A 25,916-nucleotide genomic window follows, 5' to 3' on the forward strand; every position below is an offset into this window, starting at 1 on the left:
GGTCCTTCTGTAGGAAATGCTGCCAATGTTATTAATGACCTATCCCAAAAAGTAAGCAAGCAGAGAGAAACAAAGTCAATTCAGTTATCTTCATTCAAACCTTAGAAGTTTATGTTAAAAATCCATAACCAGAAATGATTTTCAAAGAGGAAAAATGTGGACATGTCTTTTCTTGTAGAAAATCTCTCTAGATCAACATCACTGTCAGAGTCACCTGGACAGTTAATTCAAAATGCAAAAGGTCATTACTCATTCCTAGAAAATCTGATTCTTGAGTCTATGGTGGAATTAAGCTGCTTCCTGGTTGATTCTCATTCTGATTCCTACTGAAGCCATCTGGTAACTGGAACAGATACTCCCTAACCTCAGTCTTTGTACTGTATACATGGATACTATGCAAGGATTTGATAACATCATTTACCTTATAGTTAAATAATTTTTAGATATATGGATACATAAATAGAAAAAAAAGACAGGAGACACAGTCTTACATACCCATCTTATGATAGATGGAAATATTTAATTAGCAATTTCATAGTTTTACATGTATGTATTCACAATTTTGGATTGCAAAGTAAACACCATTAAAATTCAGCATATGCTTCTCCCATAAAGTATTGCTGTATAAATGATTTATATTTAACAATTCAAAAAATAATGTTTCAGAGCATAAATATTTCCAATGAGATATTATCAAAGAGCATGCTGTTAACTATAAGAATACAGCATAGTAGGCCAGGCACAGTGGCTCACGCCTGTAATCCCAGCTTTGGGAGGCCGAGGTGGGCGGATTACGAGCTCCCATCCTGGCTAACAAAGTGAAACCCTGTCTCTACTAAAAATACAAAAAATTGGCCAGGCGTGGTGGCGGAGATTAGAATCCCAGCTACTCAGGAGGCTGAGGTAGGAGAATGGCATGAACCCAGGAGGCGAAGCTTGCAGTGAGCCGAGATGGCGCCACTGCACTCCAGCCTGGGCAACATAGTGAGACTCCATCTCAAAAAAAAAAAAAAAAAAAAAAAGATACAGCATAGTAAAGAATCTCAATATTAATATGCATAGTAAATAACATTTTTTCTGTAAAGTCATAAGCAGACATGGAGAACATGGAGACTAAGAAATCAACCTGGTATTTGAAATGTACAATGAGTCTTGAATAATGAAAACAGATTTCAAAATTTGGAGATCTGGTCAGGATGCTGTAGACAGAGGGGAATATTCTAGCAGATGGCAAGTATAAATTGAAATGTAATCTCGGCACCTGAACTTTTGTGGAATCACACATTAGCTAAAACTCAACTATAAAATCTAATTACATTTCTTTTGAAACCTTCTTTTAAAATGTTGATCAGTTATTAATAATTTAATATGTGTAACTACTAGGAATAGTAGGTAAAGACTCAGTGCAGTAAAACTCACTATAAAGTGTGTGTGGCTCATCTGTTCAGCCATCACGCTCAAGAAAATGTGCTCAAGTTCATTTGTGACTAACTGGCAAAGTTCTCATCACAAAACAAAAGCTCCAAACTGAAAAATGTTCTTAACTGTCTCTTAACTGGACTCAATTGCTTCTCTGCCATGAAATCTTTTTTTTTTAAGCAAAACATTGCTTAATCATTTTCTTTTATTGTTATGCTTAAGAATAAAAACACATAAAACTGATCAATATGGCAATCAAGTTAATTCAATAAGACACTTTTTTATTTGTTTACCACCTGTAAGTGCCACAGAGACTACCACTACAGGAAAAGACAATAGAGGAGGAAGCTCTAAGGTAAGGTTTGAGTTAATTTTCTATATTTAAAGTTTCTTTAGAAAAATGTCCTTTGGTTTGTAGACACAGTTCATATACCATTAGTTGAAGCTGTGCATAGTTATACAGGGCGGAAATGTCTCCTTTAAGGTTAACGTCGTTTTACACTTACAATGTGACTTCTTTATTTGAAATGTGGCTAGTTTCATCCAGTCTAAATTGGAGATACGTATCATTGTCTCTTTTTGCCTCAGGACAGTACTGGAAATGAGATGTTTCATTTCAATGCATTTTTCTCAGTGGAAACTGTGTAAATAAATAGATTGGGAAAGATTTAATGAAATCATCAATAGCCTGGAGCCAACTAGTGGCTCTGTGCTAAACATTTGGCATAATCAACTGTCTAAGAGATTGAAAGTCCTAGGTACTGGGATTTAAGGTTATCCTGAGCTCAGACAGGTGGGCGTGTAGAAAGGGGTTGACACAGCATCTTCATCTATACAAGCTAGATCAAATGAAGTAATAAGTGATCCAGGGCATTTTAATCAATACAGATAAGCCATTTGGATAATTCAGATGTTTAAATTTATATTTTAACAGTGAAAAAAATAGATTAGAGTTCAAGAGAGCTTAGTTTTCCTTCTGATTCTAACTCACTGGCTCCCCTTATATAAGCCAAATAATTTCTCTATGCCTCAGTCTCCTAGCAGGGAAAATATGTCCTTGGAAAAGAACAGTAGTTCCCGTACCCTTTTACTCATAATGTTAAGATTTCTCAGAACACAAAAGAGAAGCCACAAAATATGAATTTGGGAAGTTTATCCCAGCATCAACTGGCGCAGTGGTGCATTTTTTTATTGTACCTTACATTTCCGTTTGAAGGAGTCCTCCTGCTATAAAATATTTAAAACAATTGTAGTCTGGATGAGGATTTCTAAAATAACTTCCAAATCTGATGATAGCTTAGATGTCATGTAAATATATATGATGTAAAATATAAAATTCACATTGAATATATATTTCTGTGAATTCATTTAATGTGAATTGTATATTTTATATCAATATACTTATATAAATATTCTAGTATATTTATATGAATTCACTTAATATGAATTATATATTTATATTTTTAATAAATATATATTGATATAAAATATATAATTCTCAACTCTACCATTAGTAATCTTTATAGACACTACTTCTGTAACACGAGGATTTTCATCAACAACAATTAACACTGAAGAATAAGCATCACTAAAAGAGGAACAAAAGGAGGGAATATAGTGGAGATAAACTATGAAGGACCTCCATTTTGTTTGGAGAAAATCAATATGAATATTTGTATGCATTCAAGAACAAGTAGGAAACAATGTTGCTATCTGCACCTTTTGCATGGGATGGGATACAAACAGAAACGTATATATTAAAGTGAGAAAACATTATTTCTGTAGTGTGAATTAAGGCCTCAAATTATTTCTAAAGCAATATTTTAGATTTATGCAACCATGACTGTTTACAATGATCATAAGAAATGCTAGACCTAAATGTTTTGATCTGATGGAATACTGTTTTATTGAATGATGTTTGAAATGAATGAGCTTTTATCAGAAATATTTTGTTGTACAAAGACTTTCATTGCAAAAAATTTTATATATATTCGAAGAGAATCTAAAATCCATAAGTGTAATTCGTTTTCTAAATGTGAATAAGAAATTGAAATGACATTCTATTGAAAGACATTTTATGAAAATTCAACTAGGTCCAGAAAACTGGAATGACACTGTACTTCATGTAGTCAAATTCCAACTATTTAGTAGGAAATTATTTTTTAAAACTCCACAATCTAATCCTTAACTGGAATCTTGAAAATAGGATTCTCACAAAGAATTTTGTTTTTATTGTAGGATATTTCATAAAATAAATGAAGTACATTTTAGGCGTTAAGAAATTATGCCCCAGCCTGTAATCCCAGCATTTTGGGAGGCTGAGGCGGGTAAATCACGAGGTCAGGAGGAGTTCAAGACCAGCCTGGCAAAGATAGTGAATACTAAAATACTACTAAATACAAAAATTAGCTGGGCGTGGTGGCAGGCACCTGTAATCCCAGCTACTAGGGAGGCTGAGGCAGAGAATTGCTTGAACCCGGGAGGCGGAGGTTGCAGTGAGCTGAGATAGTGCCACTGCACTTCAGCCTGGGCGATAGAGCAAGACTCCGTCTCAAAAAAAAAAAAAAGAAAGAAATTATGCCCCAAATATTTATTCATTCTCACATATTTTCAATATCTAAAATGACGCAGAGAGGAGTCCTTCCAACTTGGCTAGTTTATTGTTATCAATGATGGCATCAGTTCATGTGGTTTTAACAAGGCAACCACATAGGCACAAATAATTGTGTTTTGCTAAAAAATAATTAAACAGGGCAAAAATATTGATTTAACTAACTCAACTGAACTTCAGGGTATTTCACAATACCAACTGGATGGGAAATTGTGTTTCTGAGTGCCTGCCCTTTGACAGGTTCCACTCCACTTCGTGAGAAAAAATAATTTTCATTTTGCCAATTATTTAAGATAAATGTGTGCAGGCAGAGGCGCTTATAGAAAAAGCTCTAATCAGAACACATTACAGGAGTCTGTGAATCAGACAGGTGACTTTTACTACAGGTGAGAATATATTGCTTAGAATATGAAAACATGTTAAGTCAGCTGGAGCTCTTAAATATTTAAGGTTCATTAAAAGTTTGGCTTCATAAACTAAACAACATATAAAATGTAGGTTCAGTTACATATGGGAGAGAAAAATGAAGTGTTGACCTAAAGACAAAGAAGTGTATTCAGACTAAATTAACCTAACATCATTTTCCACCTGGTCATCCAATCCAGATTGCATCTCCTAGTTAACAAGAGCTTCACTTTAGCCTCTTGGAGCCAGGAGATTGCAACAATCCAGAAAAAAAAAAAAATGGCTTTTGCCCATTTAGGAATGTTTTGACTCACCACAGTTGAGCAATCAGAAAGTCACTTGGTTAAGTAGCAGCTTTGGGCTGGTCCTCGTGCAGTGGTGTTTACAACTAATTGATCATAACCGGTTACAGATTTCTTTGATCCTTTTCCACTCCCACTGCTTTATTTGACTAGCCTTTAAAAGGAAAAAAGGAGGTTTGATTTTCAGTATTGTGACACATTAATAGATTAATGCCATAATTCTTCAGAAAATTTTAAAAATTAGATTTAATTCAGGAAAGAAATGCTAGAAAACCTGAACCTAAACCAAGACTACATCAAATGTGCTCGTGTAAACCTACCTGTGGGGTTTCTGTGCTCTTTTAGATATCTTCCAATTTTTTTTTTTACTTTGAAATGTTTGTCTAATTTAATAGCTAGATTATTGCTAAAAATTAATAAACCAGCATCTTAATCATAACTCTATAATATTCTTCTGATTAACCACTGAACAAAATTTCTTCTCCTTTCGCTCACCTCACTCTACCCACCAGGGGATAGACAAATTCCAAGTCAGAATCACATCTCACTAGAATCTAGTATTGATGAGCTCCCAAAGTGACAGAAAGGAAAGGGATTTTCCTTCCCTCTTAGTTTAGTCGATCTCTAAGGCAGATGGTTAATTCATTGCACCTGTAACCAATTAGCCATTCAAAACAACTGATTCTTCACAGTAAATTGTTGCCTTGCCAATCTGAGAAGCAGGTGCATATTCAATGGCTAAATTGCCAAGTGGTTGGATACACAAGATGAAATCATCCAAATACAAAATTCTGTTAGATAAATGTGTGGAAAAATATGATCAGTTATAATTCCATTCTAAATTAAGAATTTAATTATTTCAAGTTTTGAATCACAGCTCTGAGAATTTTATTTTTTTGATTCTGATATTTGGCTACTGAATTAAGCAGATGTTTTTTCAATGAAAATTAACTTTTTAAAAAAACAAGACTTAGAATTTTATTTTTCTTCTTTCTAGAAACAATGGGTTTTGATTATAATAAACATATTAACACATATTTCATTATATAGTGATTCATTTAATGCATCTGCTTTAAAATGGATACCTTTATATGAAAGATTTAACTTCCAGCCAAGGCACCTAATTAATTATATTGAACTGAGTATAGTATAGCCACTCTCATTCTGTGGAATGAAAATCTATGTGGCTTATTTTATTACTATAGTGCTAATATTATAAACTTCATAGACCTGAACCATTTTATCCTAGAAAATTATTCAATAAAAAATTCCATCTTTCTCACGTATGTTTTTTGAATACATGGAAAGGGTCCACTGACACTTTTTCTGGGCAGCCACTTGTCTACACAATCCAATCTAAATGTCCCAAATTCTGTCTGCATTTTCCATCAGAATTGCTTGATGGTAAGCGTATTAGTCCATTTTCACACTACCTGAGACTGGGTAATTTATAAACAAAAGAGGTTTAATTGACTCACAGTTCCACATGGGTGGGAAGGCCTCAGGAAATGTACAATCATGGTGGAAGGCAAAGGGGAAGCTGGTACCTTCTTCACAAGGCAGCAGGAGAGGGAGAGAGCGCAGGGAAACTGCCACTTATAAAACCATCAGATCTCATGAGAACTCACTCACTATCATGAGAACAGCATGGGGAAAACAACCCTTATGATCCAATCACCTCCCACCAGGACCTCCCTCAACATGTGGGGATTACAGTTCAATATGAGATTTGGGTGGCAACACAGAGCCAAAACATATCAGTAAGGAATCACTTTCAAGAAGAGTATCAGACCCTGTTCAGTTGGCACCAGGATCTTATTCATACCTTCCCATCTCAGGAATTGGCCTGGAGGGTATTTATATGGGTAGACTATGGTCACATTCCTGTAACAAATAAGGACTCTTCAAACAGTTCAACCAGAACCCTGTTTGTAGAGGGAGGAGATACTATATGAAAGGTAACCAAACTCTAACTGGATAATTCAGGTAGCATCACTATCCTACTATCCTATCTCAAAACCCAGGATAGACACATGGGAGGCATCTTTAAATTAATCCCTCCCTTTCCACATCTTACATATCTCCAATCCTTTGGATACTATTTTCCACGTTTCTGGTGTTTTCATTCTTATAGGCATTTTTCTTACGCCTTTTTTTTCCAACTGATTTATTCAAAATATTCACACATCTCTTTACTTATTTATCTAATAAATACGGACCAAATATCCAGCAAGGGCCAGGAATGAGAAAGAAAATAGAGAATGGTGAATAAGGCAGACATGTTAAATGTTTTAATGGAGTGGATAGTCCAAGGCAGATAGGGACAAATACCTTGATAATTATAATTTTGTCCTAATCCACACCTGAGAATTAGGAAGGCTTCCTGGGATAAGTGAATGTCAAAACCAAGAGCTGGTGCTGAACCCCTTCTCTAATTAAGCACAGAGATCAGAAATAATTTTCCAGGAGTGGGAATTCTGTTTCTTGTCTCTTCACTCTCAATGCCAACCTCCACAGTGCTTACAAAATTATGTCTTTAAGAATACTTCAGGTCACCGTCATCCTCTCTTTAAAGATTCACCATTGTCTACTGAAGAAATTACAAACCTGAGATTAAATTTACAGTCTCATTTTTTTCAACAAAGAAACTATAGTTCTATTTCACTGTAGTATCAACTCTTTGCTGAACAACAGGAACAGCTAGCCTGTTTTCTTTTGTTGCTTATTCTAGCAACTTATACTGGAAAATTCCTACTTATTATCTAAATTTCTGTTAAAATATTATGTTCTCTGAAAGCTTTCCCTTACCCCTCCATTCAGGCTTCATTGCTTATTTTTCTGATATTCCACATCCTTTGCTCCTCTATTATATAGCACCTATTTTATTCTGCTCCATGTATTAGTTTTTCTTTATCGGAGAAACCTAGGCTGTACTAGCTATATAAATACCCCCATCCCACTCCTCTAGGCTTCCTAGTTTCATATCCCAGTCTACAAAGATTTCTTCCCTGTGACTTTGCCGCCACAGTGAAAATGGAATTGCCCACAATTTCCTGTCTCCCACCAAGTAGCAGGAAAAACTTGAAACCAGACACCTGCAATGATATTCCTCACTAAGCTCCCCTTCAGCATCTCGAATTTGACCTTGCAGATATGTTATTTCTCTTCTCTTCCCCACTGCCCTGAGTCTCCTAGCATCCCCTTTTGTCCCCGCTCTCTAGTATGTCTGATGAACTCCCATCAAGAATCACAGCTCCTCTGCCAGAAATGGAAAAAAACTTTCCTCCAAATATAAGGTTTCACAGAGATGGACTTGTCTATAAGAGATTATAGATTTTTGAAAAAATCCCCCAAAATGCATTTGCTTTTTGAGGTTTAAAGCTCCCCTAAATAAGAAACTCATACCAGGCTAAGGGAAACTGGGCTTTTTCTAATATTCTTCTGCTCTTAGAAGAATGGTCCCTTAGAAATTCCTTGACATTTAGGATTGTTACTGAGAACCCTCCCCAGGGGTTGCATGGATGCCCCGCATCTCAACCTTGGATAAGGGTGTTAATATTTGAAAACAGCATTTGAGACCAGCCTGAACAACATAGTGAAACCCCTTCTCTACTAAAAATACAAAAAACTAGTGTGGCGGTGGGCACCTGTAATCCCAGCTACTAGGGAGTCTGAGGCAGGAGAATCACTTGAACAAGTGATTCTTGTTTGCAAAGTTTGCAGTAAGCCAAGATCGTGCCATTGCACATCCAGCCTGGTCAAGAAAAGCAAAACTGCATCTCAAAAAAAAAAAAGAAAATAGCTAACTGTTAGTCATAATATCTCTTTTATAGTTGTCCTAAGAAATATGACATGCCTTTTTGTAACTCAAACCCCTGGGAATTTTGTGACTCTTGATACCCCAAAACCATGGACATAGGCTCTGGTTACACACATCTTCCCCTGCAACTACATTATGCCAGATTCTATTTTGCAAGTGCCTTTACCCAGTGGAAATCTTGCCTATGATGGTGCTTTGTGCACATTAGACACCTAATAAATGCATATTCAATTGAATTGCCCAGGAAAAAGGCATATGGCACAGATGACTAAAAAGTGAAAATCCTCTGCAACATACTACATTACCATTTAAGGGGGAAAAATCTTGTTAATGTACACGGTGACAAGTTTATGTCCTGAAACATGAGACCTGATTAGCTTTTTATATTTTAGCTCTCATAACTACCAGTTTTATTGCTGGTCATAAAATTATCCAGCTCATTTTGAAATTCAGCTGCAAAATAGGACCCTTTGATCTCCTGTGATTATACCAGTTTATATGAACATACGACTCCATGTTAGGGGTCTTACTCAAATCAGGGTTTGGGAACATTAGGAGGTATATCGAAGAAGTCTCATTTGAGATCTCAGGGCCAGGAACTCATTGGGCATATCTGGCAGTGGTAACAGCAAAAAGCGGAGTGTTTCCCCTGGATGGCATCATGTTGGCTGAGATTTTTTAGTCATGATAGCAAATCATGGATTCAGTTTTTATATCTCAGTGTTAGTATCTTAGCATCAGTTTCGTATGTCAGTCTTCATAGTCTTGGGCTGTACCCCTGAACAGTTGTTCACAAATACCTGTCATTCACTAAGAACACGGGGGAACAACTTGAAACAATTTTTTTGATAAATACCTGTTGAGCAATTACTAGGGGTTCTGGGGTTATTCCGTAGATAAGAAACTAGCAGCAACACTCTAGTATTGAAATAAAAGGAAAACACAAAGACTTTTAACAGACCATGGAATGGCTGACATATCTCAGATCCTCTTCTTGCCTAATTTGCTGCTATGAGATCTGTGATCCATTGAGAGAAAATTAAGCACTGGGAGATATTCACAGCCGGGAAACTTCTGGGCAAATGATTGTAGTCCTGATGCTCCTACTCTGCACAAATATGATTTTATTTGCTTCCTTGCTTATCTACATTTTCAGCATCACTTCTCGGGATAACAACACTCCAGCTATATGAAAAATAATATGGACGCTAAGCAATTTTTTCCTCATATAAAGGTAATTACTTTAGGTGTGTTTTTATTTTGTTTATTTTAATTTAGACATCCCTCATTCATATCTTGTATTTTTAGGTACATGAGCTATCTCATGGGTAAATCACCAACAACTCAGGATTACAGAGCAGACACACATGCACACTTGTATATGCACACACACGAGCGTCGGTTGTTTTATCATTGCAAATAGCTCTTAGTTATGCACAACCTGTCCTCTTCCTCATTTTCCCATTATGCAGGCTTCCCTGCCACATACGTATTAGAAATATTTAGAAATACAAGGGTTTTCATTGGATCTCTCTATGAGAGATTCCCTATCGTTGATCTGATCAATGACTGGAAGAGAACGCAGAGAGTGTCAGGGGGTCAGGATCATGGAGGACTCTGGTAGTTGTAGGAGGGCTGGGAATTGTGGTTAAGGCTAATGTGGATTGTGGCACCTCTAGGCATTGGTCCAGAGGACAGAGCCTTCATTGGATTGGTCCACCCACTGACACATAAAGTCATGTGGTAGAAATTTTTCACATTAGCTTAGGTTTAAAAAAAAAAAAAAAAAAAAAAACTGCAGCCTTCTTACAGACATAACAGGAAAGGAAATCTCCAATATGTGACATTTCAAAATTCTGCCTGCTCTGCCTTCCTTACTGCACAATCTCTTAAGTAAGAGTAAGAGCCTAGTTTTATGCGTTAGTCTAGTTGCAGTAAAATGATAGCTAATTGGAGGAAATGATATTGATTTAACATTTGCTAAATCTGTGAAACAGACCTATCTGCCATCTTTATGGTGAAATGGTACAAAAACAATGTCATACACTGGTCATGTATCATTGCATCTGGGTTCTTATCTCTTGTAAATTCTTCCACCCTCTAGTATTCTGCCTTTTCGAGCTTCAAAAAATTACACAAATTTTTATAATTAGAGGACTTCGGGTAGGTCAGGGTCTTTATAAATATACTGAAGTGGACTTCTCTCAAGTTTCCTTGCAGAGTTTATTTTCAGACTTCTTGGACATGAAACAAAAAGAGACAGGAAGCCTCACAGATAGATTTTGCATCAGACAAAATACTTTTGAAATATGAACTAGATCACCTCTTTTTTCAAAGGTGGGGAATGTCTATCTCTCTTTTATTTGTTGATTTTCTAGTTTGCGGTAGTTGGGAGACCTTATATTTCAAGTCCCTCAGGACTTTTCCTGCTGGTTGAAGAAACTCATGTCAAAATGGACATTTCCTAATAGGAGAGCACTAAATTGTCTATGAAAACAGATTATAACTCTATATTTACTGTTATAAAAGCATAAAAGCATGCTGCATGGAGAACCTTGAATTTAATGGAAGGAGAAGAATATAGAGTTTTCATAAATTTATTTTTTGCAGTTATCTCCCTTTACCTTTGTAAAGCAGAAAACTAAGCTCCTTTTGTATCAGCTTGGTATTTATTGACATATTAATACTTAAAAACACTAAGAATAATAACTGAGATGGAGAGAGAGAGAGACAGACACAGTGAATCAAAATCTTTTCTACCCACATGTATTAATCAAAATATGCTAGGTGTGGTAACAAAAAATAATCTTGTGGTTTTCCACAGCAATGATTATTGTATAGACAGATTCTGCTATATGTCCAGCATAATCTCTCCCTACTTGCAGTTAGGAGCTTCACCATCCTGTAGCTGCATCATCTGCAACACTGAGCTTCCTTGATCAATAAACAAGAACAGACTGTTGGAGGCCTCATCCTACCAATTCAACGCTATGGCCTGTAAGTGACAAAAACCACTTCTACTGACAGCCTTTGGCTGTCAGAAATTGGCTGCATGGACAAGATTAGATGCAAGAATAAATTATGTTTATCCTCTTATTTGCCCAGAAAGAGAAGTAAAAGAAATATGGGTAAGCATTCCCACTCCCACATTATCTACCTCTGTGTTTCTCAAATTACATTTTCTTGTCCAGAGCCAATTTTTTTTTTTTAAGCTAGTAAGGAGATCAGGGTAGGGAAGTGGAGACATTATCAGGGGAGGGAGCGAGTTGGGGTGGTCTCAAGCAGTTTGTTTATATCTCAGAAATGGTGGTAGAATTAAAGTCACCAAAAAACACAAGCCCTCATCTCCACTGCTGTTCTATTTCACTTCCCTGTGCACATACGCCTCATAATCTGAAGCTACAAGGCAAACTCCTTATTATGCCTTATAGGACTATAGGATTAATAGATTTGCATATAGAAATATTGTTTAATATTTGCATTTTAATATGTAATATGTAATCCTCAATTGTTTCTTGAGTAATTACTCTAATATTATCTCTACTATTTTTATTACTACTTCTACTGTTATAATTACTTACTATTAGTTAATATTTATTGGTCTACTGAGCTAAGCAATTTAAATATGCATAATTTTCAAAACAAACATACAATGTAAGTGTAATTATCCCCATTTACTGTAAATAAATTGGACAACAAAGAAATTTATAATTTGTTAAATAATGAATCCAGATCTATCTGACTCCAAAGTCCGTGATGTTCAACACTATGGGTAACATACAGAGTAATAGGGATTTATTCTCATGCCATCATCTGTAATCAGCTATCTTAATACCTAAGGTTCTAGGGTGGCAGGGTAGCTGTGCTAGTTGCTGAAAACGTTTCACACAGAACTTAACATGTTTTGGGCATTTGAGTGTTTAATAATGCCAACATATAACACTATTTTTTTAAGTAAGATGAAAATGCATCTTGACTATTGATTTAAATTTAGATCTGTTTTCCGAGTGTCAAAGCAACTTACTAGAAATACATCATTTGCAAATACTGCATCATCACTACACGTTGCCATGAACATCAAGTCGCTTCACTAATTCAAGTGTTGAAATCAATAATTGATTAAAACTCAAAGAGGCTAAGAATTATCCCTTTATGCCAAATTGGCTGACGATAGCCTGCACATGTAATTACAGGTGTGTGTGTGAGACAAGGTAGCTATATATTTTCTCACATTGAAAAATCACGTCTCACTCATAAAGTAGATGGAATAGTGCTCATGACTTCCAGGACACTTTCATGTTTCCGAAAATTCAGTAATTTCTCAATTATTTTTTTTTTTTTTGAGACGGAGTTTTGCTCTGTCACCCAGGCTAGAGTGCAGTGGCTCAATCTCGGCTCACTGCAGCCTCTGCCTCCTGGGTTCAAGCAATTCTCCCACCTCAGCCTCCCAGGTAGCTGGGATTACAGGCGCCTGCTAGCATGCCTAGCTATATATAGTTTCGCCATGTTGGCCAGGCTGGTCTTGAACTCCTGACCTCAGGTGTCAATTACTTTTAATTGGAAAAACTGCAGTTACATTTGCACCAACCTAATATCTCTTGTTTGTTCACTGCCAATCCCTAGAATCTAGCAAACCAATGTTTGCTGTTGTTTGATATTATGTAAGATTTCAAGTCAATCTGTTATAAAGGGCAAAGAAATTTTAAAGTCTATTTACTATTAAGTCAAATTTCATGAAATGTACAAGATCATTTTTCACTGATCTTTCACTGAACAATCTCTCAATTATCCTTTCTTCTCTGTTGTTTGCTTAAAATAAAAATATAAAACTCTGAATAAATTATTCATTATTATGACGTGTCTATAAAGAAAAAATTGAAGTTTAGAAGAGTACATGTATTTATACCCAGTTCTTTTTCCTAACACATTTGAAATAGTACATGAAATATATACAGTGCAATAGGATAGAAACATCATAAGGGCAGGTGAAAGGGAAAAATAAGGTAAACAGAAAATCAGACTCAAGGCAAAGTTACCCAAAAATGTACTGGGATTTTTAAAAATATAAGTTTTGAATTTGACTATGAGCTTCCTAATAGCCAAAACAAAGTAAAAGATACTATCATTTTATAATTTACTAAGTTTATAAGGAGATGAAATACAATTGGCCAGAAAAAGCCAGATACACACAGGAATAAAAGTGTTCACTCGTTGGAGATCACGTACTTATTGAAACCATGTTGCCAATAATATCTTTGTTATTCTTTTTCATAGAAGAGATTGCTTTCCAGGACATAGAAGAAAATTCTATAGCATCTCATTACTTTAGAATCACATCTCAGTTTTGAAATAAAACCATATTCAAAAATTACCCATAATATGCACCAGACTCATTTTTAAATGACATTTGATGGTTTCTGAAGCCCAAATCCAACTTCAAAGTCTCTATATATGATAAAGCATATTCAAAAAGTGAGTGACAGACTTTGAAAGCCATTTTCAAGAAAGTATTCAGAAATATTTTAAGTGATGTTGATATCATAGGAAGACACGTATAGCATATAGGCTCTTAAGGTGAATATTTGAGGGAGATAATGCTTATTGTTATTATTCATGTGACTGACCAAACAATCATATTCGATTGTGATTGTACAATATATGGCAGACCAGGGTGAGCACTGTGATTGCATAGTTTCTTAAATAGCGTTGGGGTACAAATAATCAGTCCTTGCCTTCGATAAATATATTCTTAGGTTTTTGCATGCTTCTGTGTGCAGATATTTATTCTCCTTTAAATGAAGTAAAAATTCCTTTAGCAAAGAAAACTTAATTCTTATTTCTTTTTACCCTTTGCCACTAACAAAGCTCCTATTAGGTGCCAAAAAATACTAATTAGATAAATGAACTCTGCTCTGATCACCTGAAACACTAGCAAACTGCCTGGCTCTCCTGTCACACGGCACATGCAGAAGTGGCCTCACAACATATTTCCACATATTTTTTCTTGAAAAGGCAGCAAGTTAATAAAAAAGAGATGTGAAATATATGAAATATTTTTATAATGTCCTTCTTCTATGCCTTGGATAAATGCTAATCCGAGATTCTGTAATCTGCATGACTGGTATAAGTGACGGAACACATAATTTTCTGATATTATTTTCTCAGGCTATTAAGCTCTGCCCAACCTTTTAAGTATATTGAATTGGAAGATCATGTTCCCACCATTTCAGGAAATTGGTAGTGTCACAGCCCAACAACTTGAGAAAATAATGTTATTTTAGACCGGAGGTAAAAAGAAGAAATGGCAACAAAGAAAGTATGTAAAGCCTCAGACTGGAAATAGTAAATACTTGCCCCGGTGATGTAAAATTTTGTCAGTGTGAGAACAGCAGCACAAAGAATATCCTTGTGATTTATTTAACTAATGAGCTTTCTTTATAGGTCTCTTATTTATACGAGCAACTGTAAATGTTAACCCTTTGGTTTTTTTCATAAATGAACACTTTCCTCTGGTAGCAGGGGTTGGGGACTGGAACGGCTCTGTTGACAATGGAAGTCCGCATTGAGATCATTTAGAAAATAAGTGAAATGGGATAGGTAAAGGCCTATTTAATGAAGACAATTTAATAAAAACCACAAAGGAATGTATTACACAAACAGATTTTATTATAGAAAAATGGAATGCGCTGGAAGAGTGATTTTTAGACTTGGTGATCTTTCAGAGGAAAAAGAGTGAGTACAAACTTTGCAACCTGTTGGCTCTTCCTAATTAGAGGTGTGACTAGAAGGGAGATGGCAAAGCAGTCTCCAAATAAGTGCTGGTTTCCTAGCAACCATGGCTCCAGTGGCTTAACCAGATTTTAAATGCAAACAATCAACCTCAGTACTAAGCCTGAAAGGGATGTTAAGTAAATATCATGGGCAAACTGCAATTCTTCCAAAGAAATGCTCTTCGGAGGCTGTGGGCTGCACTACCAGTCTTTAAAGCCCTCCACTGTGCTCAGGTGCCTGCAATGGGCTCTAAGTCAGCATTAAGTTACATTATGCCTAGACCGTCCCTGATACGCCGATGACCCTACTTATTTCCTGCCTGAACACAAGGCTACATGTGGCACAAACAGACTACAGAATTGAGGTGGCTTAAACCTGATGTGGATCGACGAGAATTTTTTTCTACTTCGTATTTTGCAGCTTATTTTATTTGATTGTGAGTATATTCTTTACAAGCTGTTTTTTAATAAATTTTCCGTTTTGTTCAGTAATATCTTTTCCATTTTCCAAAACACTACTTCAAGAGGTCACTCAATCTAAAATTCTATATGATGTCTTAAGATATCACAACCCTTAAACGCAGCATATGTTTTCAAAACACGTCTCATTCATACAAATTGTTAAATAGAACATTGGTTTGAGCAGAAATTAAAAATGGGTCAATATGAGCACCTCTAGAACCTCTTACTTACTGGCATAATATGCCCCAATACTTTATGGGCAAATACGGAATTTCTAGAAACATGACTAGAAAGCAATTGATTATCTGAGCTAGTTCTCTTGCAGAAGAGGTCTCTGACTGTCCTCAAGGTAAAACTGGAAGACAATCAAAGCCATGGAATAAACCCAGGAGCCTTCAATCTGAATGCATGATGGATACTCACCATTCGACACAGAAGACCGATCACAGAAGTAGTAGTACATTATCCTGTTGCAGGGTGGGTACAGAGGCCTCTTTTAGTAAACTTTTCTTATTAAACTTTTTATTTTGAGATGATTGTAGATTCACTTACAGTTGTAAAAAAATAATAAGAGAGATCCTATATATCCCTTATCCAGTTTCTTCATTTGAAGGGACTTTTAAACCTTGGTGTACTCAGTACAACCAGGAGCCATCAGTAGAGTTGTAATCAAGTAAGTCAGCCTCCAAAAGAGCTCTCCACTTTAACAGTTCCACATATGAGCTTTGTTTGCACGAAATGGTAACTACCACTCTTGGGAGAGTACTGTTAACAGGTAGTTCACCAGAGAGCTCTATTGAAAAGGTCTGACCAGTAGATTCAAGAGGGGAGGTCTCTGAGAGTCAAGAGGTGACTCTTGTCCTTTCTTTTTTCAGATTTGAATCAAATGGTTTTGGGGGCTTAGTGGGCATTAATAAACTATAATATTTGGTGATGTTGGATAAAGTGGTTTGGCTAAACCACTTTAATTCTTAAATTTTTCTACTGCAGGTAGGATTCCCTTGGAATACATGGTTGTAAAATTGGAGATTGGAGATCATTAGGCAGGATATTTATTAGGGAGAACTCCTGGGATCAAAACCTATGGAAGGGAAGGGAAGTAAGGCAGGAAGGTAAAGAAGCGTTATTGGACAATGAAGAAAATTGTGCTGCATGCAGATCTAACAAAGTCCACAGCCAACATGGAGGGCCCCTTCAAATTTGTTTTGCCTGCACTGAGGATGCCAGACCTTTATGTTCTTGCATTGACCAGTCACTGGATGCAAGCTGTTTGTTAGAAGGAAATGTGATCTTGGACAAAAGAGCTCTTTCCAACCCAAGGCAATTTACAGAAAGAATCAAAAGCTGAAGTCTGTCAGATAGTATTGCTCCCAGAAGCTATAGAAAATAATGCCTCATTTCTAAAGGAGAAGCCAGGCAATACATAACAGCATCCACTATATTTCATCCATTGTACTGCTCAGTTCTATTCCTTTACATATGTTCTGACTTGGAATGACAAGGGTTATAGTTACGATGAGCTTTTTCATTTTAACTGGCTTTGACTTATAGGAAGAAGATTTATGGGATGAATTAAGCCCATGCAACTGTAGCTGATCTTAGGGCTGTAATTAATCCTCAGCATCTCTCTTCTTTATCCAGGCAGAAAAAAATCAAACCAGTGTATTTTTCTAGATTTTCCTAATCTTCAATTAGCACCTCAGCTGGTCTTCGGTCTGTGGTCACCATGTGCCTCCAAGACTGTGGCTGCTGTTCTTGTCCATGCAAGTGGATCGCTTGGGAGCCAAACACAGAATTCTGTTTCATAAATGGAAGACATCAGCCTTACTTCCCCCTGATGATCAGAGTCCATTTCCTGCCAGGATTGTGACTCTTTGTGTTTACTGCTTGTCCCTTATCCAAAGGAGTTCAAGGTGACCAGGAGAAAACCACAGTTTATATGCAATAGGACTTTTGCTATGTCCATGGTAAAAGTGTTCTCCCTTTGGGTATCAGGAGTTTTAAATCTGCAAAACAGAGCCAGGCGCGGTGGCTCACGCCTGTAATCCCAGCACTTTGGGAGGCCGAGGCGGGTGGATCACAAGGTCAAGAGACCGAGACCATACTGGCCAACATGGTGAAGCCCCATCTCTACTAAAAATACAAAAATTAGCTGGGCATGGTGGCGTGTACCTGTAGTCCCAGCTACTAAGGAGGCTGAGACAGGAGAATTGCTTAAACCCAGGAGGTGGAGGTTGGAGTGAGCCGAAATTGCATCACTGCACTCCAGCCTGGTGATAGAGTGAACCTCTGTCTCAAAAAAAAAAAAAAAAAAAAATTAAAAAAATTAAAAAATCTGCAAATCAGGATTGTGTACACAGAAAGCACAAAATTTCCATAAAGCACAACTAGGAGTGATAAAAAATGTGTGCAGACAGAAACACAAATAGAAGTGATATTAAAGATGGCTACCCTTGCTTCAATCCCTCGATTCTCGAACTCATGTATTCCACCTATTAGGGACAGGAAACTATGTAAAGGCCATCTATCTACTCATGTTGAGATTGGCAAACTATGGCAAATAGGCCAAATCCATCCTATTTCCTGTTTATATAAACAAAGTTTTACTGGAACACAGTTATAACCATTCATTTATATATTATTTAAAGCTGTTTTCACACTACAATTGCAGAGTTGAGTAGCTGCCACAGAGATCATATGGCCTGAAAACCTAAAATAATTTTTATCTCACTCTTTACAGAAAGTTTGCCAACTCTTGATGTTATGTGTATATCGCATCCTGGAAAGTGGTGCCCCGTCTTTGTAAGGAATCATCTCCAAGCTAGCACCTCAGTTTACCTTCACCAGTCCATTTTGTTGCTCTATCATGCCGATAGCTTCCGGGTGGTATAGTGTGGAGTGTGGCCAAAGGATTGCATGGTCATGTGCCCACTCCCACACTCTATTTCTGCAAAGTAGGTGTCTTCATCTGACGTGATATTGAGTGAGATCCTATTTCAGTGAATCACTTTGTAAACCCTTGGTTAGTGGTGCAGGTTGACATCCTGCAGTCAGAAAAGGCAAACTTATACCCAGAAAATATACCAATTATTGGGAAAATGAATTGTTGACATTGGAGGGTAAAGGGGGTCAAATGTAGTCAACTTACCACAAAATGTCTGGTTGGTTTTCTTGAGGATGCTGCTGCATTAGGGATAGATTATTTGTCTGTGTTGCTGACAGGTTGAAGGGTCAGTAGTGGCAGTAGATAGATAAGTCTTGATGAGTTTGAGCCCATATTCTTGACTCCACGCAGAGCTCCCATCCCTCTCAAATGGCTATTTCTTTTTTGTGCCCTTTGTGCAAGCACTGGAGTGGCCAATGACAGAGGCTGGCTGACATTAATTGGCTGGGTCATTTTGTCTCTTCAGCTGTTTAATGCCTCTTTCATAATGACAGCTTTTTGGTGACATTAGCATGCAATATAAAAATGCTGACATTTTATGTCCACTATGCAAGGTACATCTGTGTGCCTCTATTCCATTACAATGTCCCCTATCTTCCATTTTTTTCTTCTTTCAGGCCCTGGCCTTCTAGCCAAGCCATTTATTCCTGCTCATGAATCTCTATGTATTCTTGCTTTGGATTGCTTCTCTTTCCTCATAAAATGGATGAATAGGTATACCAAATGCAGCTTGCCCATCAACTTTCCCTCACCATTGGATTTTTGATGCCTCACCCTCCCACCTCCCCCACCCCTTGAGTGAGACAGTAGCATAATCATGGTCTATTTTTGGCTTGACTAACAAGACAACATATTTGTAAATAAAGCTTTGCTTTATTCCTCCTCCAAATTCCTATGTGGCCATAAATGAAAGCAGAATAAGAGGTTCTGATACAAAAGCGAATGACATGGTGGTGGGGGTGGAGGTGAAGTGAGTGGTTCGGGGAGAGATAGAGGGGGTATCTAAGTCATCTGCTTAAGATACAAGCTTAAATCATGTTTTCTGGCATTGCTTATGCATTATGACAGATACTCTACTTCCATATTACAATAGATTCCTGATGGGCCTACTTATCTTAATTCTGGATCTAGCTTCTGAGGAAAACTCTGACCACATGGTCATTTGATGAACCACAGTGAACTACTCTATTTTTACCAGTGTCCAGTGACAAAAAGGAGAAACTGTTCAAAAGGCATATAATTCTCTGTAAAGCATTGCTCCAGAATAAACTACATTATGTTTCTTCTACTGAGATGTACCAAATGCTCCATATGTGTTTTCCTACCACAGGATCTCCAAAACAGTATAAGGCCCAAGAAGCAGAGAGGTTTGTACTGCAGTCTGGCTCCGCTGCAGATCTTTCCTTCTCTGAGACCACCTACGTCATACTTTAAATGGGCAGAGCAGTTTGTGTGTGTGCATCTTTTATAACTGCCTCAGTGTTATTGTGAAAATTGAAATGTTTTAATACATAAAAGTGATTTATTGGCCTGGCACTGTGGCTCATGCCTGTAATCCCAGCACTTTGGGAGGCTGAGGCAGGTGGATCATGAGGTAAGAAGTTCGAGACCAGCCTGACAAACATGGTGAAACCCCATCTCTACTAAAAATACAAAAAATTAGCCAGGCTTGGTGGCAGCCTCCTGCAATCCCAGCTACTCAGGAAGCTGAGGCAGGAGAATTGCTTGAACCTGGGAGGCAGAGGTTGCAGTGAGCCGAGATCGCGCCATTACACTCCAGCCTGGGCAACAGAGCGAGACTCCGTCTCAAAAAGAAAAAAAAGTGATTTATTGTAGTAATATGTTTTAATTCAAACATATTGTACCTAACTTATTACTATATATTTTTCTGAATTTAATGTGATATGTGAAGTTTTATCCTTCATTATAATTGTGAGATGATTCTAAGTTACATGAACATATGTTCTTCATTCAACAACTTCCCATAGCTCAGAGACTAGAGTTTTAGTAGGTACTCATTAAATATTTGTTGATTAATGAATAAAACTCCCACTCATAATAATCAATAATCAATATCAACAATGATCAATCCACAGATAAAGTTGAGTCTTACTACATATAAGAACTACATGAGTTGCTGCGACAATATACTAACCATCATATTGACTCCAAAGGGAACTTGGTATTAGAGACATAGTATCTTAGGGCTGGAAGGGGCTTTCTCATTCAATTTAGTCACCTTTTGCAAATGAAATAAAGGCTCAGAAATGGATAGGGACATGTCTGAAATGATGTCCAACTGGTTGCATAGCTACATCATAATCTAAACTTCTCAACAACCCTCATAAACATTGTTTCCATTATAGCATTCTATATGTCATTATTTCATTCTTCTGGTTTGCTACAGAAGTAAAATGTTTTCCAGGACAGTATAAGATCTTAAAAATTTTTCCATTAAAAACACACATTAAAGCTTATTAACCTAATTTTCAAATTTGGAATATGGTGGAAGGAAGACTAATAAACAGTCATTTTGATATAAAGGAGTAAGGGGAAAAAAGTTTTAAAAACTAACATCATGTTCTTGCAGTATTGAATTAAATTTCATGTTACTTCTGTTTTCAGATACCATTCTTATTTCCAAACCAGTACCCAGTAAAAGACACATAATTTGTTAATTCATTTTTCTTTCTCCTTCCCTAATTCCACCAATTTTAACTTTCTTATATGAAATAAGTATGCAATGTATCTCGTAGGCAATGTGATTTATCTTTTCCAATTTCCAAATAAATAATGATTAACAAAAACATGTATCTAAGGCCTGATTTGAACTTAACAGAAAAATATCACCATAATCAGTTTTACATGTTATAAAAAATGTTTCAAATGCTATTAAAAATATTTGATTTTTAAACACTTAGATAATTTCTAAAAAAATTTTTCCTACTGATTATTTAGACAGGATGTTAGAAGACCTTAGGGGAGATATTAAAATCAGATGAAATAGTGATATGAGGTCATATCTACTTAATGCAGTAATAAAGGAAATGAGAAATGAGAAAACCTGAAATATATAAATATAAGGCTGTCACGACAACACACAAGTAATAATCAAAATATTTTCTGTGGCATTTGAAAGCCAACAAAAATTGCAAGGTATTGAGAATGAGCAAAAGGGTGGTTTTCTTGAAAAACTTTGACCAAAGATTTGAAGAAAATTAAGTTAACAAAGATCTTAAAATAATAATACAGTGGGAGAGTTTTTTATAGATGGCTCCTCCCAAAAATGATTTTTTTCACCATTTCAAGCGGTAAAAAAATATTTTTGGATGGAAAAAATAGAACCTAGCAATAGAATTCTCCACATAATCATGTCACAGAACTGCCCCCAGATATGTCAAATATATCTTGGCTTATGTTCTAGAATTTTTGAGATCATTAACTTAATGTGCTTAAGTGCCTTAAAAAAGAAATTGGTTATTTTCTACATTTCCATTTAAGGTTATATTCTGATTTCAGTCTTTTTAGATTGATGAAACCCTATTTGCTATATACTATGGATACCTTTTAACATTATAAAGTAATATATCCAGCATTAATAAGGAATTTTTACAAATGGAATAGGGTCATATGGTTTTATTAAAATGAAGAGATTTTGCTTCTAAATGCTAACCATTAGGAGCATAACCAATGTGTTGGGCAGAATGTGTTTTAATGTATACTCACATAGATTTGGTATTCTTACTTTTTAATAAATTGCCTTTGTAACACAGAGACCTCTTCTCTTACTCAGAGAAACTGGAAAAACCTTGTGATCTTGATGTTCTGCTCAAGCATTCTAAGAGAATTGACAATTTCCATCAGTATCCAAGCTACTTTAAAAAAATTCAGCATCTTTTATATCTCCACACCTAATTATTAAGTGTCAATCATAACTGACAGTAGGACAACAAAGCCACACAATTACACAGAAAGATATACTTTCAAATGTCATTCTAAATTTATGAAATTGGAGTTTTACAGTCCTCTTATGAAAATGTCAAAAAGTGCTGACCATAATTTTTCTGTAAGTGGTAAATACAACAAATTCACATCCTTAATGCATTCATCTTTTATTCTTACAAACTGATAAAAATCCTAGAGTCGAATTCCTGTCTTTTTATTTATTGAGGTGGAGATGCTTATTTCATATCTATCGGACATCTCAACACCTATAAAAAGTGACAGGTGTTAAATCATGTTGTGTTGTTGACTTATAAAATTAATTTATTATCATAACAAAATATTAAAATGTTATAGAAGAAATTAAAGATAAAAATCTAGCCCACTCCCAAGCTTAGGCTGCCCAATTCCTATCCTCAAAAGTGATTTGGATAAACTAAAAGATAAATTTATTATTAATCATTTTGGCTGATCCTTTCAGACAGAGTCTATGAGTTTTTATATATGTATATATATATATAATTTATGGTTGTGTTTATATATAAATATATATCAATTATATATAAATATATATAAATTATATATAAATACACATAAATGATATATATAAATAAATTATATATAAATATATAATAATATAAATATATAAATAATTTATATAATTTATTTATAAATATATAAATAAATTATATAAATATATAAATTATATAAATTATTTATAAATATATAAATAAATTATATATAAATATATATAAATTGTATATATAAATATATATAATTATATATAAATTATATATAAATATATATACATTATATATAAATATATATACATTATATATAAATATATATAAACATATATGAACACACTAGATCAAAAAATATATCCTGTTCTGCAATGTTTCCTGATTTTACTATTTACATATAATCTTACTATATTTTATTTGTACATATAATGCTGACTCATTCTTCTAAGTAACTGCACAATAGTCTAATGTATGTTAGTTTCTCAATTTGTTTCATGAGTCGCTTAGATGTATTTCCAGTTTTGATATTAGAAACAATACTCAATATTGTTTGGCTATACCTTTGATCATGTATCTTTTCATACCTCTGTGACTGCATCTGTAGGATAAGTTCTTAGTTGGGAAATTTCTGTGTCTAAGCATTTATTTGTTTATAATTTAAATTAGTTAATTTAACATTATGTTGGCACTATATTAGCTAATTATGATATATTTTTAATATAGTCTCCATATGACGCTTTTTTTTTTTTGAGACGGAGTCTCGCTCTGTGACCCAGGCTGGAGTACAATGGCGTGATCTTGGCTCACTGCAAGCTCTGCCTCCCGGGTTCACACCATTCTCCTGCCTCAGCCTCCCAAGTAGCTGGGATTACAGATGCTCGCCACCATGCCCAGCTAATTTTTGTATTTTTAGTGGAGATGGGGTTTCACCACATTGGCCAGGCTGGTCTCGGACTCCTGACCTCAGGTGATCCGCCTGCCTCGGCCTCCCAAAGTGCTAGGATTACAGACGTGAGCCACCGCACCTGGCCATATTATATATTTTGAAAGTTTAAAGTTAATCAACAATGGAACACAAGATAAATAATATTTTATAAAACAAAAATCTCAAACCCTAAACAGGGAAAATGATTTGGGAAAATAGTCGATAGCCAACATTGAAATTAAATTTTTAAAGAGCACAACCTAATGAGAATAGCAATCACTATTTTGTAAAATTTAAAATGAAAATAAAATTAGAACTTGAGTTATATCAAGATAATTAATTGTTAGAAAAACACCTATAATGGGTGTGGTAATTTCTTGAATTTTCAGTATTTGTAAAGCAATGAAAATTATTTTATGCCAAATGAAATAACATATATGTCATCAATGCAGACAGTAATTAGCCAAACATTTGAATGATTCATGTTTAAAGCTATTGAAATGGAAAAATTTCTTGAAAATGTGAAAAATTATTTTCAATTTCAACGGTTTTAACACGATAACGTGAAGTAAGTCTGGAACAAAGCTGATAGATACCTCCTAATTTCTAACCATTTTTGCTGATGTAGAACAAACATATATTTCAGTAACATATTCTGTTTTCTCCTTCACTCTTTTACTGGCTAATGTGGGGAAGGGAGACTTACTTCAGATGTTTGAAAATTATCATCACTATAATTAATTATTTTTGCATACATATATAAAGAAATGAAATAGTATGTCAATTGGAAGAATTTAAGATCTAGAGTACACAGCACTAGGCTAGCCGCTGTGTAGTAGTCAACATTTATTAGATCTCCAATTTCCCAAACGTATAGAAATTTCCCAAATATATAGAAAGTACAGCTGTGTTCGACTCTTCTAAAAAAATGAAAGAAAAAATAAATAATCCATAATCTTCCAGAAGGTTTTTCAATATTTTTTCCTTTAACAGATAGATCTAAAAATATTCTTTGAGATCTCCCTTATCTAACTTCTTTGAGAATGTGGGTTTTATTTCAAAATGCCCTTCCAATAATCAAATATTAACTTTAGCGTATGTTGTTTTATACGTATTTATTATCAGAAGAACATAAAGAAGGAAGAACCATTTAAATCTCTCTCCTATGTGTACATATATTCAGCAAGTTTCTAACATTTATAATGATTGCATTTATCGTGAAGATTATCATCATCTTAGATCATCAGCATCTGCCTGGTTCCAAATAAAGTTGCAGCAATAATACCTAAAACAGTATTCATAAAAAAGATTACTATCTCTTTAATAAAACATAAAACATTTTTTCCAGAGCTTTCATTATCAGTTCTTGAATGATTTAGTGCCCTTGCTTTTTTATTCTGACACATATCTGCACTGCTTTCAGAAGAATTCACTCATCACTTCACCAAGATTAAGTGGAATGTACACACTACACGGATCATTGTATATTAGGAACAATACGTTGGTCAACATTTGAGTCTGATTCTGTACCTAGTATTGTGCCAGGTTGTACGTGTATACAGAGAAATATGGTCCATCATTTCTAGGAGCTTCCAAACTATCTTGGGATTAATGACCAACAAAGAAAAAGCCAGACAGCAATAATAAATGACATATGACAAATGAAGAGAAAGGCAATAGAAACACTATAGATTATTTTTTTTTTTTTTTGAGACGGAGTCTCACTCTGTCACCGAGGCTGGAGTGCAGTGCTGCGATCTCGGCTCACTCCAGCCTCTGTCTCCCGGGTTCA

General features: G+C 35.5%; 1 long non-coding RNA gene across 1 annotated transcript in view; it reads right to left on the bottom strand.

Annotated features, from left to right (window-relative positions):
- Positions 1 to 1,679: 1,679 nt before the first annotated feature.
- Positions 1,680 to 25,916, bottom strand: part of LOC105374029 (uncharacterized) — a 65,172-nt gene continuing 40,935 nt past the window's right edge. Inside the window, exons 3-4 of the long non-coding RNA XR_001740467.2 lie at positions 4,750 to 4,891; positions 1,680 to 2,059 (exon numbers count right to left, since the gene is read on the bottom strand). This is a non-coding gene — a long non-coding RNA (uncharacterized LOC105374029). The remainder of the gene's footprint in view (positions 2,060 to 4,749; positions 4,892 to 25,916) is intronic.

Source organism: Homo sapiens, chromosome 3 (assembly GCF_000001405.40).
Source record: "Homo sapiens chromosome 3, GRCh38.p14 Primary Assembly".
Taxonomy (NCBI): domain Eukaryota; kingdom Metazoa; phylum Chordata; class Mammalia; order Primates; family Hominidae; genus Homo; species Homo sapiens.